General features: G+C 45.5%; 1 protein-coding gene across 13 annotated transcripts in view; it reads right to left on the bottom strand.

Moving 5' to 3' along the window:
• The window catches only part of DNAAF1 (dynein axonemal assembly factor 1), a 32,613-nt gene that overhangs the window by 13,678 nt on the left and 2,766 nt on the right, over nt 1-16,169 (bottom strand). For 11 of the 13 annotated variants that reach the window (XM_011522854.4, XM_011522853.4, XM_011522855.4 and 8 more), the window contains exons 2-6: nt 15,101-15,236; nt 13,901-13,992; nt 9,445-9,666; nt 8,494-8,660; nt 4,447-4,568 (exon numbers count right to left, since the gene is read on the bottom strand). In XM_011522854.4, coding sequence (XP_011521156.1) covers nt 4,447-4,568; nt 8,494-8,660; nt 9,445-9,666; nt 13,901-13,992; nt 15,101-15,236 — 739 coding nt within the window. Of the gene's footprint in view, nt 1-4,446; nt 4,569-5,031; nt 5,204-8,493; nt 8,661-9,444; nt 9,667-13,900; nt 13,993-15,100; nt 15,237-16,169 lie in introns of those variants that run through there. The other 2 variants (XM_017022920.3, NM_001318756.1) reach the window with 1 other exon arrangement.

Below are 16,169 nucleotides of genomic sequence, written 5' to 3'. Positions count from 1 at the left end.
CGCTTGTCACAAACGTACCACACGAATGTAAGACGTTACAAATAGGGGAAACAGTGAGGGCGGGTGGTATATGGAAACTCTCTCTACTTTCTGCTCAATTTTTCAGTAAATCTAAAACTGCTCTGAAAATAAAGTCTAGGCCAGATGCAGTGGCTCATGCCTGTAATCTCAGCACTCTGGGAGGCCAAGATGGGCAGATGGCTTGAGCCCAGGAGTTCCAGACCAGCCTGGGCAACATGGCAAGACCCCGTCTCTACAAAAAGCACAAAAACTAGCCAGGCATGGTGGTGCACACCTGCAGTCCCAGCTACTCAGGAGGCTGAGAGGTGGGAGGGTTGCTTGGTGACAGAGCAAAACGCTGTCCCCCACAAAAAAAAAAAAAAGTCTATTAATTTTTTAAAAATCAGCAAAGAAACTGAACAGGCATTTATCCAAAGAAGATATAAAAACTGCCAATAAGTACATGAAACGTGCTCAACATCATTATCTACCAGGGAAAAGCAGATGGAAACCACAATGAGACACCACTGCATACCATCCAGAGGACTAGAAATAAAAAGACAGGGCTGGGTGCGGTGGCTCACACCTGTAATCCTAGCACTTTGGGAGGCCGAGGTGGGTGGATCATGAGGTCAAGAGATTGAGACCATCCTGGCCAACATGGTGAAACCCTGTCTCTACTAAAAATAGAAAAATTAGCTGGGTGTGGTGGCAGATGCCTGTAATCCCAGCTACTAGGGAGGCTGAGGCAGGAGAATTGCTTGAACCTGGGAGACAGAGGTTGCAGTGAGCTCAGATCTCACCACTGCACTCCTGCCTGGGCGACAGGGCAAGACTCCATCTTAAAAAAAAAAAAAAAGAAAAAGAGAGAGAGAGAGGAAAAAAAAGACAGGCAACCCGAAGTGTTGGTGAGGATACGGGAAAATTGGAACCTTCCTACACTGCTGATGGGGATGTAAAATGGTGCAGCTGCTTTGGAAAACCATGTGGTGTCTCCTCAAAAATTAAATGTAAAGTCCCTGTATGACCCAGAAATTTCACTCCTAGATACATACCCAGGAGAAGACAACAGCTGTCCACACAAAAACTTCATTATTCACAACAGGCAAAAAGTGAAAACAACCCTAATTTCTGAAAGTTGATGGACAAATACAATGTAGTGTATCAAAATGCAGTATCATTTGGCAATAAAAAGGAATGAAGTACTGGATGGAACACGCTGCATCGCAGATGAACCTTGACAACAGGATGCTGAGTGAAAGAAACACAGGGCCACATGGTGAGTGACTCCATTTATATGAAATGTCCAGAACGAGCAAATCAACAGAGAGGGAAAGCAGAGGAGTGGCTGCCAGGGCCTTCAGGGAGCGAGAAATAGGGGGTTGGCTGCTAATGGGGATGGTATTTCTTTTTTTTTTGTTTTTTTGAGACAGTCTCCCACTGTCACCCAGGCTGGAGTGCAGTGGCGTGATCTTGGCTCACTACAACCTCCGCCTCCCGGGTTCAAGCGATTCTCTTGCCTCAGCCTCCCAAGTAGCTGGGACTACAGGCGCCCGCCACCACACCCAGCTAATTTTTGTATTTTTAGTAGAGATGAGGTTTCACCGTGTTGGCCAGGATGGTCTCAATCTCTTGACCTGGTGATCTGCCCGCCCCCGCCTCCCAAAGTGCTGGGATTATAGGTGTGAGCCACCATGCCCATCCAGTATTTCCTTTTTAGGGTGATGAGAATGTTCTAAAATTGATTGTGGTGATGGTTGCACAACTCTGTGAATATACTCAAAGCCATTGCATTGTACACTTTGTTTTTTATTTTTATTTATTTATTTTTTTTTGAGAGGGAGTCTCCTGACCTCAAGTGATCCACCCACCTCAGCCTCCCAAAGTGCTGGGATTACAGCCGTGAGCCACCACATCCAGCCACATTGTACACTTTAAATACGTAAACTGTATGGTATGTGAATTATGCCTCAACAAAGTTGTTATTTGAAAAACAAAGTCTGGTGGTTTAAAAACAGGAGGCTTACCTTAAGAGAGAAGAAGCAGATCCCTGCTGTAAAATCAAAGGTACAGGTGTTTGGAAATAGTCAGACAGGGTGTTGCAAAGTATACTATAGCAGAGAAAGACCACGAGTCACTGAGACAGAATATGCCAAGGAGAATAAACCATGTTCCAGTCCATTTACCACACAGTAAGAAATCCTCAGACCCTTTGATCTCAGAGCAGACAGCCAGCAAAGGCCTATCTGTTGCCTGCTACATGCCAGTCACCATTCTAGAGGCTGGGGACCCAGCAGTGAATGTAAGAGCTGATCTCTGTTAGAGGAGCCCTTTTAGTCGGGGAAGACAGACCCTAAACAAAGAAATGAGTATATGTCAGAGACTCATGTGTCCTAAAAGGAAATCAAATCAGGCCGAAGAGACATCAAGTGGAGAAGGTACTATTTAGATAGGTCATGGAGAGTGCTCTAATAAAACGACAGATGAGCAGATACCTGCTGCATCCTAGATGACAGCAAGTGCCCAGTGTCAAACAATTAGTCAGTGGCTGGATTAAGATTCAATGCCAGGGGTGTGGTGGCTCATGCCTGTGAGGCTTTCGGAGCCTCAGAGCTTTGGGAGGCCAACGCAGGAGGATCACTTGAGGCCAGAAATTTGAGACTGGCCTTGACAACATAGTGAGACCCCCATCTCTACAAAAAACTTAAAAATTAGCTGGGTTTGGTGGTGCACGCCTGTAATCTCAGTTACTTGGGAGGCTTGTGTGAACCCAGAGTTTGAAGCTGCAGTGATTGCACCACTGCACTCCTGCCTGGGTGACAGAGTGCAACCCCGTCTCTAAAAAGAGACTCAAGCCAGGTTAATCTGACTCCTGAGCTGGAGTCTTGGGCTATGCTCTAAAGGGCGGTGGCTCCTATTGCTAACATCCATGTTACTTTCCTCAGCATGGCCCCTGGGGCGGGAGCAGGATCTTCAGTGGCAGCTGCTCCTACTGGTTCACTCCTAGGAGCCCAGCACCTGCTCGGAGTCCTGCATGTTGCTCACAGGCGCTCACAGGGACCCTGTGGCAACAGTATTCTCATCCCCACGCTGCAGATGAGGAACGTGCGCCCAGGGAGGTGAGGGAGCTCCCCCAAGGGTGTAACGTAGCTCGTGGCTGCAGAGCTGGCTTGGGAGTCAGACCCCTGCACACTGGCTGCTCTCCCCGTCCTTACCACCCCCAGACCTGGGGCCCAGGGAGCTGCGTCAATTTCTGTTGAACCTCCCAGGAGCAGGCCTTCTGGTTTTCTTTTTTTTTTTTTTTTTGAGACGGAGTCTCGCTCTGTTGCCCAGGCTGGAGTGCAGTGGCGCGATCTCAGCTCACTGCAAGCTCTGCCTCCCGGGTTTATGCCATTCTCCTCCTCAGCCTCCACTCGAGTAGCTGGGACTACAGGCGCCCACCACCACGCCCGGCTAATTTTTGTGTACTTTTAGTAGCGACGCGGTTTCACCGTGTTAGCCAGGGTGGTCTCGATCTCCTGACCTCGTGATCCGCCCGCCTTGGCCTCCCAAAGTGCTGGGATTACAGACATGAGCCACCACGCCCGGCCCTGGTTTTCTTACCTGGCTAAAGTGGAAGCTCTATTTGAAATATTTGTTAGTTTGATTTAAATTTGTGAGTTTAAAAACACATTACAAGCTACATTTATTTTAAATGTTGTATAATGCAAAATTCGGATTATACATCTCGTCAAGTAGCCTATATGACTGATATTTTATTCTAATTAGAATTACTAAATTGATCTAAATTTAAAAGTAAGTTAAAAACACATATAAAAGCAGTGATGATAAACATGGCAGTCCAGGGTACGATGTTCCTGATATTAAAGAAGCCCTTACAAATCGGTAAGAGAAGCACTTCAAAAAGAAACTTGGAAAAAGTCACTGACAGAATATTCATAAAGGAGGAACTATAAGTGTCCAATAACAATGAAGAAAATGCCCAACTTCATCAATTATCCAAAAATGGCAATTTAAAACAATGGGGTACGATCTTCACCCATCAACAAACTTGGCAAAGATTTCCTTTCATGGTTATGTTATGTGAGGTTGTAAATTGGTACAAACTCTCTAGAAAACAACTAGAAAATATTTGTAAGGGTTTTTACAAAGTCTGAAACCACTTTCTTCAATGCAGTGATACTACTCCAAAAATTCCATTCCAAGGAACTCATCAGCAAAGAGGTAAACGACTGATACAAAGATATTTATCAAAGGAATATAAAAAAATCTATGAATAAGTGCTCAAATTCCCATTATAGTCAATTATGTAGCCATCAAGCCTATTTCCAAAGAACATTTTTGATATGTGAAATTTCTCAAGAATCAGAAATTTAAAAAGTTTAATATTAAGCATGGTCAACTACTAAATATTAAAATGTGATCAGAAGGCTTTTCTCTTCTTACCTGTCCTTTGGAAACACTGGTCTATCATCCAGGTATGTTAAGTGCTTTAGTCGTACAGTGACTGTCCTTCTGTAATTAGGAATCTGTCTGATAACCGGGTTTCCCATCAAATTCAGTACACGCTGCAAGAAGACAAGCAGAACCAAAATGATTACTGAAAGATGCGATTGAATTATTTTATATGTGCTGTGCACTAAGAATAAATGAACAAAATCTATTTTTTGAGCAAAATAGAAGTGCCAATATCCTGTCCTGGTGACTTGATGGGAGAAATCGGAAGGTTTCCATTGCTCTCACGCTATCAGAGCTGTCTAGATCATTCAGCAGCCCTTTCTTCCACATGAACTTCAGATCTTAGATCTCATCGTCCCTCCAGAACAATACTGGAAAACATTTCCTGAGGCTTTTTCTGAGTGCAGTTGATTATATTAGTTTTGCTACCCAACCTCTTTTACTGAAATGAATCTCTGCCTAATTGATTGTTTTCTTTTCTTCCCAGCCAGGATCCATTTTACCAAAACGCACACAGCCGCTAGACAGAGAAGCAGCAGTGACTAAGGGAAAGGATGGGGAGTGCCCGCTTACCTCTGCTGAGTGCCGCAGGATGGACGGCCCTTCTTCCTCGGCTTACAGCTCTCCCCGCTGTCACTTAGGACCAGGGAGGAGGAAGGGGCTCGGCAATCCGACCTGCCATCCTCCCCCATCTTTAAATACTGTCTCTTCCTCTACTGCCTTAAGAAACTCAAAGAAGTTTAATGCTTAGTGGGGCTGGGCATGGTGGCTCACTCCTGTAATCTCAGCACTTTGGGAGGCTGAGGTGGGTGGATCACTTGAGGTCAGGAGTTCGAGACCAGCCTGGCCAACATGGTGAAACCCCATCTCTACTAAAAATACAAAAATTAGCTGGGCGTCATGGTGAGCACCTGTAATCCCAGCTATTCATGGGGCCTGAGGCAGAAAAATCACTTGAACCCAGGAGGGGGAGGCTGTAGTGAGCTGAGATTATGCCACTGCACTCCAGCCTGGGTGACTAAGCGAGACTCCATCTCAGAAAATAAAAAAAGAAGTTGAATGCTTAAGGCAACATGAGGGTGAACCATTTCAAAATGTGGTTACCCTGCACAGGGTGGGGTGGTGGGAGCAATACACCCAGGCAGCAATAAAGGGGTAAACGGTGTTGGGAGGATTTAAAAGCAGTCACGAAACAACTATTAACATAAAGCAACCTGCTTTCGTTCTGGGCTGAATTGTGTCCTAATCAAAATTCACATGTTAAAGTCCAAACCCTCAGCACCTCAGAATGTGACTGTATTTGGAGATAAGACTTTTAAAACCACGATGAAGTTGAAATGAGCCCATTAGGGTGGGCCGTAATCCAATCTGACTGGTGTCCTTAGAAGAAAAAAGTAGGACACAGAGAACACACGGCACAGAGGGAGGGACCATGTGAGGACCCAGGGAGAAGACGGCCATCTACCAGCCAAGGAGATGCCTCAGGAGAACCCAGCCCTGCCCACACCTTGCTCTTGACTTTCAGTCTCCAGAATCATGAGAAAATAAGTTTCTTTTTTGTTTTTGTTTTTTTTTGGAGACAGAGCCAGACTCTGCCTGTCTCCCAGGCTGGAGTGTAGTGGCGCGATCTCGGGTCGCTGCAAGCTCTGCCTCCCAGGTTCGCGCCATTCTCCTGCCTCAGCCACCAGAGTAGCTGGGACTACAGGTGCATGCCACCACGCCCGGCTAATTTTTTGTATTTTTAGTAGAGACGGTTTCACCATGTTAGCCAGGAAGGTCTCGATCTCCCGACCTCGTGATCTGCCCACCTTGGCCTCCCAGAGCGCTGGGATTACAGGCGTGAGCCACTGTGCCTGGCCACGAGAAAATAAATTTGTATTGGTTAAGCCACCCGGTACTTATGGCAACCCCAGCCAAAACAAAAACGAACAAACGGGGGGATTATAATATAATAGAGCTTTCTATTCTCACCGTGTGCTGCAGTTCTAAACTAGTCTTTTGATAGTACACACTACAGATTGTTCCTGAACTATGATTTGCTTTCAGTTGACTCACTTTTCTCCATGTTTATCAATAGCCTAAGCGGTATACAATAAACTCAAGGTTTTTGTGTGCTAGTTTTAGTATTTTTTTCCTAGTACACACGACAACACATAGACACTAAGAAGCAAGGAGGCTGTCAAAGGCTACTAGCGAGGACTCAAAAGGACATAGGAAGCAACCTGACGGGTTCTCAAGCCCAAAGGACGGGAATTTTTTTTTTTTTTTTTTTTTGACACAGTGTCTCATTCTGTCTGGAGTGCAGTGGTGAGATCTCGGCTCACTGCAATGCCTCCTGGGTTCAAGCAATTCTCATGCCTCAGCCTCCCAAGTAGCTGAGATCACAGACGTGCACCACCATGCCCAGCTAATTTTTGTATTGTTAGTAGAGATGGGGTTTTGCCATGTTGACCAGGCTGGTCTCAAACTCCTGGCCTCAAGTGACCTGCCCACCTGGGCCTCCCAAAGTGCTGGGATTACAGGTGTGGGCCACCATACCTCACCTGGATGGGAAAATTTGAACATGAAAAATTAAAGTGATAGCGAGAGTTAAATCATGTCAAATACTGTATATATAAATGTATGCGTTCATAATGATACTGAAAAAAAGAAAGGTTTCACTGTCACCATGAGAGGTTGCCAGGTTTCAATTCATTTTACTGAAAATTGATAAATAACCAGCCTGAGCAATATGGCAAAACCCATCTCTACAAAAAATATAAAAATTAGCTGGACGTGGTGGTGCACACCTGTGCTCCCAGCTACTTGTGAGGCTAAGGTGGGAGGATCGCTTGAGCCCAGGAGGTTGAGGCTGCAGTGAGCCATGATTATACCACTGCACTCCAGCCTGGGTGACAGAGCAAGACCCTGTCTCAAAAAAAAAAAAAAAAAAAGAAAGAAAGAAAGAAAAGGAAAGGAAAGAAAAGAAAAGAAAAGAAAAATGATAAATAAAAGGGTCAAACATTGATCCTGGCCTTTTCTGCATGAACTGCATGAACCACTAGTTGGCGAATGAAAGCTCTTTGTAGAAGTGTAGAAGCATTCTAGCTAACAGATGCTGAGAGAGTGAGAAAACTGGAAAGTTGTCATTGTGTGACTCATCATTAAATAATTAATCTAGGCAATGTTCATCAGTGACTGCTAAAATAACTGGGAGAAGGACTGACGGGGAACTTCATAATGGCTAGACCAGGCTGACAATATCTGAACCCACTAGTGAATCTTAAAACAACAAAAGGAGAAGCAAGCAGGCATCACACGCTCCCGGATGTGAGGAGCTGGCAGTGGAAGGACCTGACACACCTCAAGGTGAAATATGGAGCCTGGATACCATCCAGCCTCTGGCTCCGATATCATTTTACAGGAAATACCAGGGCCAGCAGAACATGTTAAGTGGCACCACAAGGATGCAATCAGCTAAATCCAGAATGTGGGTAACACCAGACAGAGGACCTGGTTTCCTTGAAAAATTAATTGAGTGGTGGTTGGGCACAATGGCTCTTGCCTGTAATCCCAGCACTTTGGGAGGTTGAGGCGGGTGGATCACTCAAGGTCAGGAGTTCAAGACCAGCCTGGACAACATGATGAAACCCTGAATCTACTAAGAATACAAAAATTAGCTGGGTGTGATGGCAGGCACCTGAAATCCCAGCTACTCGGGATGCTGAGGCAGGAGAATTCCTTGAACCCAGAGGCAGAGGTTGCAGTGGGCGGAGTTCATGCCACAGCACTCTAGCCTGATCAAGAAGAGCGAAACTCTATATCAAAAAAAAAAAGTCCTTATCTGTTAGAGGCACACACTGAACTATTTGTGGGTAAAATAATACGATAACTGGCATTTCAGATACTCCAGCTAAAAACACAAAGAGGAAAAAAGTGTGAAAAAGGGAAGGAAGGCAGGAAGGAGAGAAAAGACAAAAGGACTTGATATTTGATGAAAATAATAGAAGCGGTTTCCTGTGGTGCTTTTTCGTTGTTTTTGTTTTTGTTTTTTACCAAATCGGGCATGCTTTCCAGAATGCTCAGGATCTCCGGGTCACTCAGCTTGTTGTGCGAAAGGTCAAGGACACAAAGCCTCAAACACTCTTGTAGATGCTGAATGTCCTCCACGGTCTCCAGGTGATTGTGGGCCATCTGCAATGTGTTCAGGACTGGGAGGCAGGCTGGAAGGTAAGGTCAGCAGAAGTCAAAAACAAAGGCATAAAAATGCTTCTTGGGCCAGGCACAGTGGTTCATACCTGTAATCCCAGCACTTTGGAAGGCTAAAGCGGGAGAATCTTTCGAGCCCAGGAGGTTTGAGACCAGCCTGGGCAACACAGTGAGACCCCATATCCACAAAAAGTAGAAAAACTTGCCAGGTCTGGTGGCACATGCCTGTGGTCTCAGCCACCTGGGAGGCTGACGTGGGAGGATCGCTTGAGACCAGGAGGTCAAGGCTGCAGTGAGCTCTAACTGCACCACTGCATTTCAGCCTGGGTGACAGAGCAAGACCCCATCTCAAAAAGAAGCAAAGCAAAACAAAACCAAAAACACTTCTTGGCTGGGCATGGTGGCTCACGCCTGTAATCCCAGCACTTTGGGAGGCCAAGGCGGGCGGATCACGAGGTCAGGAGATCGAGACCATCCTGGCTAACACGGTGAAACCCCGTCTCTACTAAAAATACAAAAAATTAGCCAGGTGTGGTGGTGGGTGCCTGTAGTCCCAGCTATTTTGGAGGCTAAGGCAGGAGAATGGCATGAACCCGGGAGGCAGAGCTTGCAGTGAGCTGAGATCGCGCCACTGCACTCCAGCCTGGGCGACAGAGCAAGACTCTGTCTCAAAAAAAAACAAAAAAAAGACAAAAAAAAACACCACTTCTTGCCCATAATATAAAAGCTTAGAACATCCCTCAGGGGAAGGTGATGGACATATGGCAAACAGACACACTGCTTGCTGGGTACCCTTACAGAGGTTTTCAATGGTCTTGATGTAATTGTTGCTGAGGTTAAGAGCATCCAGTTTCTGCAGAGGTTCCAGGTTCTCAATTTTACGGAGCAAGTTCATTTGCAAGAAGAGGCAACGCAACTCAGTTTGGGCCTCCAGGTTTTCGATTTTCTGTATTCCATTGCTCTGCAGCCAGAGACAGCGCAGCCCTGTGTACTCTTCCAGGTTCTCAATGCGATCAAAACCTAACAAAAAGGAAGCACGTGGGAATTAAGCTCCTACTCCCAGGGCAGAGGGGTCACGGTCACCCTTGTTTTTGCCTACTATTAGGAACTGAATGTCTGTGTCCCTTCAAAATTCATACATTGAAATCCTAACCCCTAATGTGATGGTATTAGGAGGTGGGACTTTTGGGAGGTGATAAGGTCATGAGAGAAGAACCCTCAGGAATGGGATTAGTGGTCTCATAAATGAGGCCCCAGAGAGCTTCTTTGCCATCTTCACCCCATGAGGATACAGCAAGAAAGTGCCATCTGCGAATAAAAAAGCAAGCTCTCACCAGTCACCAAATCTGCCAGTAGCTTGACCTTGGACTTCCTAGCCTCCAGAACTGTGAGAAATACATTTTTGTTGTCTACAAGCCACCCAGGCTACGGTTTCTTGTTACAGCAGCTCAAAACGGACTAAGACACCTGCCTACCTGGCATCCACACCTCCTTCCTCCAGTAGCAACTTTTCTTGGAGGAACCATCCTTTTCCTAATATCACCCAACGGCTCTCTGGCAGCCTATCAGAGTCACGGTGACTCATTCGGGGGTGGCCACACTTAGCCAAGCAAGGCGAACTTTGATGAATCCTAGGGGGTCTTGCTGAAAAGACTGGTAGTCTTTCTGCTGGAATTACCCACCTGGGAGGGTGGAGCCTACTGCTGCCTTCATGGTGGGGAGTGGGTGGAGGTGGGGGTGCAGTGGGGGTAACCCTGCCTTGAAAATGTTCCCACCAGGCCTGACCCTAGTGCAAACTGTGGGCCTTGTTTTGTTCTCTTTTTCAGTTTTATGAGCCAAATTTACGGTTAGGAAAACAAATCTTTTAGTTTCCTTTAGTAACTCGTCATCAATGTGTAATTCATGCCTTGACCTACTATTACCAACACTTTTTAAAGTTCTTTATTTTGTTGCCTGAAAAAGTTTTTATTAAAAAATTCTAATATCAATGGTGAGCAAAATAAAAAGAAATGCACCCATGTTCCTGCCAACAGATAATCCGTTTTCATTTTTCTCTCTCGCCTTCCAAGCTTGCTATAAGCACAAGTAATATTTAACATAGTTATAGAATACACTTAAACACAGGCATTGTATAGATAGACTTTTTAAAATCCTATATTTTTTCCACAAAAATTTTGGTTATTTTATTTCTTCAAGTTTTATTTTAAGTTGATGGGTTCCTGTGCTGGATGTGCTGGTTTGTGGCATAGGTAAATGTGTGCCATGTGGTTTGCTGCATAGGTCATCCCATCACCTAGGTATTAAGCCTAGCATCATTAGCTGTTCCTCCTGATGCTCTCCCTCCTTGCAAACCCTCTCCACAAAAATTTTTATAGTGGAAGTATTTGCCATATTGCTCCAAGGTCTTCATGCTGAAGTCAGTATCTATAAAAGATAGGATTTTTTTTTTCTTTAAGATAGCCACAACACCACTGTGACGTCTAAACAACAGTTCCTCAACGTCATCATCAAACAGCCAGTAACTGGTCACATTTCTTTGTTGTCTTTGTTTCCAAACTGTTTACTGTCTGAATCAACATACAAATAAGGTCCAAACCTTGTAATTAGTGGATGTCTCTTAAGTCACTTTTTTTTTTTTTTCAGATGGAGTCTGGCTCTGTTGCCCAGGCTGGAGTGCAATTGCACAATCTCGGCTCACTGTAACCTACACCTCCTGAGTTCAAGTGATTCTCCTGTCTCAGCCTCCTGAGTAGCTGAGATTACAGGTACCCGCCATCACCACACCTGGCTAATTTTTGTATTTTTAGTAGAGATGGGGTTTTACCATGTTGGCCAGGTTGGTCTCGAACTCCTTACCTCAGGTGATCCACCTGCCTTGGCCTCCCAAAGTGCTGGGATTACAGGTGTGAGCCACCGCGCCCAGCCAACTTTTTTTTTTTTTTTTTTTTTGAGACAGAATCTTGCTCTGTCGCCTAGGCTGGAGCGCGGTAGCACAATCTTGGCTCACTGCAAACAGCCTCCTGGGTTCAAGCGATTCTCCTGCCTCAGCCTCACAAGTAACTAGGATTACAGGCATGCACCATCACACCTGGCCAATTTTTGTGTGTGTTATTTTTAGTAGAGATGGGGTTTCACCATGTTGGCCAGACTGGTCTCAAACTCCTGATCTGCCTGCCTTGGCCTCCCACATTGCTGGGATCACAGGCGTGAGCCACCACGCCTGGCCTTAAGTCACTTTTAACCTAAGAGTGTGTGTATGTCTCTCTCTCTTTCTTACATTGTAATTTTTTGTTGAAGAAACTGGATTATTTGTCCCCTTGGGTTTCTGACATTCTGGTTTTTCTCCCTGGTCTTTGCTCTAGCTCTTACCCCATCTCCTCCCCCTTTGCTGTTCAAGCCATCTCCAACTTGTTGCTCTCCCCTGGATCCCACCATCACTGCAACCACCTGGCTAAAGTCTCCCTAAGATCCTAACTGCTACACGCTACGGTCAGTCCTCTTAGCCCTTGACCATTCCAAGGCATCTGGCCCACAGGCCCTGCGCCCCTTTCCCAGCTTCCTCCTCAGGCTCTCTGGATCACCCTCCTAGTCAATGCCTTCATGTTAGCGATGCAGTAAGACAGGAGTGGATCCAGACACCAACAGCATACAATGGAGTGATGAAGTGTCACCTCCACTTTTGTCTTGGCCTTGCTTCCTTTCTTGGGTAACTTGCTCTGAGGGAAGCCAGCTGCCATGGGGAGGCTCATGTGGTGAGAAATTAAGGCCTCTGGCTGACAGCTATGAGGGTCTGAGGCCTAGAGCCTGGAAGTGGATTCTCTAGCCCTCGTCAAGCCATCGAATGAGTGAGACTGCGCTGACAGTCTGGCTACTGCCTCATGAGAGACCCTGAGCCAGAACCGCCCAGCTGATGACTCCCGAGTTCCCGGCCCTCAGAAACTGGGTGAGATCATGAGTTGAAGTTGCTAAGTTTCAGGGCAGTTAATTATGTAGCAATAGATAACTAATATGGGCACCTCTCTCTCCCAGCTCTTCTACCTCTCTGACTGTCTCTACTCAGTCAAACTTACTGGTTCCTTTCTTCTTCCCACCTCTTAAGTATCAGTCCCCCGGCAGTCTGTCCTCCTACATCATCTTACTCACTGCTATGCTTAGATGCTGGGTAGAGAATTTTGGAGTGGGCAAAAGTGGAGGTGAGGAGACCCATAGGAGTCGTTCCAACCCCTTAAGGCATTTGTGCTCCTGGATCCCTTTGGGCGTCTCCCTGGCGTGGCACCGTCCTCATAATAGCTGCTCCCATCCCCCAGGACACCAAAGGCACCTTTGCCGGTTCCCTCTGTGCATTTTCAGCACTGAGCAGTGCTGGGCACACAGTAGACTCTCAGCAAGCAGCTACTGAAGAGACAAATGAACAATGAGAGGACTGATGAGCAAGCTGGTCACCCCATCAGCACAGACTGGAAGCCCTCAGGCTGGGAAAAGCCCTGTCTGTGAACCTGAGCTTCCATTGATATGTGATACTGGCCTCCAACCCTGGCTCCTGCTCACGCCTCTCCATTCTAAGAGGCATCCAAAGATCCTCATCATTTGTTTCCAACATCAAGCTGCAATCCTTCCCAACATATACCTCCCAACCCCAAAGTACTTACAAACTAACTTTCTGGTATGAAAAATTAAAGTCCTGGCTGGGTGCAGTGGCTCACACTTGTAAGCCCAGTACTTTGGGAGGCTGAGGCAGCTGGATCGACTGGGTTCAGGAGTTTGAGACCAGAATGGCCAACATGGCGAAACCCCGCCTTTACTAAAAATACAAAAATTAGCAAGGCGTGGTGGTGGGCACCTGTAACCCAGCTACTCAGGAGGCTGAGGTAGGAGAATTGCTTGAACCTGGAGACAGAGGTTGCAGTGAGCAGAGATTGCACCACTGCACTTCAGCTTGGGCAACAGAGCAAGACACCATCTCAAAAAAAAAAAAAAAAAGAAAGAAAAGAAAAAAAAATTCCTTAGGAAACAAAAATGAAAGATAATGTGTTTCCTTGGTATTCCTATAGCCAGTGGCTCCTTTGTAAACTGGTCAGGCAAGACTTTTTCTTGAAATAAATGTTATTCCTTTTCCATAAATCTCCACTAAACTTTGAAATTTCCTGCTTAGATACATTCTGAGAACTAAAGGTGATCCCTGCAAGTAATTTTTTATACCGCTAGACAGAATCTTTCCACCTGACGTGAAGCACTTCCTCTCTTAGGTCCTTACCTTTAAAGTGTAAATACAGCGTATCATTCAATGCTGGGGTAATATAAAGCTTGTGCTGCTTGCAGAGTTTTTGCAGGGAACTTTTAGTCATTCTGTTAAAATGGAAAAATATGAATAAGCTTATTGCAAATTGTCAGCTGTAAAACATATTCTCACAGTTCTTTACCACATCCATTCCTGCCCAAAATTCTATAACATCCTATATCCCTGATACCTATTTTAAGTTCGTCTTTTTCTCTTTCTCCTTTCCTTTTTCTTCTTCTTTTTTGTACAGATTTTAGGGCCTCATCGAATATTATTTTCAGCATTTTTTTTTTTGAGACAGAGTCTCACTCTATTGCCCAGGCTGGAGTGCAATGGCACAATCTCAGCTCACTGCAAACTCTGCCTCCCAGGTTCAAGCGATTCTCCTGCCTCAGCCTCCCGAGTAGCTGGGATTACAGGCATGCGCCACCACACCTGGCTAATTTTTGTATTTTTAGTAGAGGGGGGGTTTCACCATGTTGGTCAGGCTGGTCTTGAACTCCTGACGTCAGGTGATCCACCCACCTTGGCCTCCCAAAGTACTGGGATTACAGGCAAGGGCCACCACGCTTGGCTTATTTTCAGCATTCTTAAAAATTGCAATGTATGTTTTTTTTTTTTTTTTTTTGAGATGGAGTCTCACTCTGCCGCCCGGGCTGGAGTGCAGTGGTATGATCTCGGCTCACTGCAACCTTCGCCTCCCGGGTTCAAGCGATCCTCCTGCCTCAGCCTCCCAAGTAGCTGGGATTACAGGTGCCCGCCACTACGCCCAGCTAATTTTTTGTATTTTTAGTAGAGATGGGGTTTCACCATATTGTGCAGGCTGGTCTCGAACTCCTGACCTTGTGATTCGCCCACCTCAGCCTCCCAAAGTGCTGGGATTACAGGCATGAGCCACTGCGCCCGGCCTAAAAATTGCATTGTATGTTCTAATAAAAATACTTTAAATGGTGTCATGAGGAACTACTGCTGTTCCTCTCTGCAGTCTGGCATTAAAGTTTAATAGAATGTGCGCTCAGCTGTGCGGCAGAGGCAGTGCCATCCTCACTCCATTCTCAGACATTGGGCAGGCAATTCAATCTCTACCAGCCTCTATTTCATTATCCGTACAAGGGGGTGATTACGCCATCTACCTTACTCCATAAATGTGCACTAATTAGGAGTATGCCCACATACCTGGGGCCCCGATCTTCCCTGTCTTCTCTTGGGTGTGCGAAGTGACCACCTGACCCATTATCACCACTCTGTTTCTGCTGGCTGTGGTAGGATGTGTCAGAAGAACCCACACATATTTCCTTAGGATCATTAATTTCTGTAAAATAAAAGAGATCAGGTCTGTAGAGATCAAGATATATGCCAAAAAATACCCCCAACTTCAGCTTGGTTAATGACCATCCACTTTTAGTATAGAACACCAGTATTCTTTAGTGGCTGGGTATGGTGGCTCAGGCCTGTAATCCCAGCTCTTTGGGAGGCTGAGGCAGGTAGATTGCTCGAGCCCAGGTGTTTGAGACCAGCCTGAGCAACATGACAAAACCCCATCTCTACAAAAATTAGCCAGATGTAGTGGTGCGTGCCTGTATTCCCAGCTACTTGTGGGGCTGAGGCAGGTTGATCACTCGAGCTTGGGAAGTCAAGGCTGCAGTGAGCTGTGTTCACACCACTGTACTCCAGCCTGGCAACAAAGTGAGACCCCGTCTCACCAAAAAAAAAAAAAAAAAAGAGAGAGAGAGAGAACAGTAATCTTTAAATGTGTAACAATTTTTAAAGCATTGGCAAAGACTATGTAAATTTCACTTCTAGGTAGATCCTCTATAAAAACTCTTGTACAGGTGCACAAGAAAACATGGACAAAGAGATTTGTTTCTGCGTTTTTTTTTATAAAAGCCAAAAACTGTTAACAACGTAAATGTCCATCCATAGGGGCTGGTTACATAAAACAATGACTTGCTTTTCTACCTTTGAGAAGAATGCACTAGAACTACATCTATCCATAGGGATAATTCTCAGAAACGTATATGGAGTGAAAAAAGCAAGTTTCAAAATAAGCACAGGATACCATATATAAATTAAAAATATGCAAAGCAATACTATACACTGTTTCAGGGCATACATGTATAGAGAAGTGCTTGCAAGAATTCATATAAAATTCTGGACAAGGGAGGAAAGGAATGGGATTAGAAACGGGGTGGGGTACAGGGGAGAAAAGGAACACCAACTCTATGTGAAATGTTTTATTTCTTTT

The sequence above is a fragment of the Homo sapiens genome, chromosome 16, assembly GCF_000001405.40.
Source record: "Homo sapiens chromosome 16, GRCh38.p14 Primary Assembly".
In the NCBI taxonomy this organism is placed as follows: Eukaryota; Metazoa; Chordata; class Mammalia; order Primates; family Hominidae; genus Homo; species Homo sapiens.
Note: the sequence above shows the minus strand (reverse complement) of the source record. Positions and strands in the feature narration are given on the sequence as shown.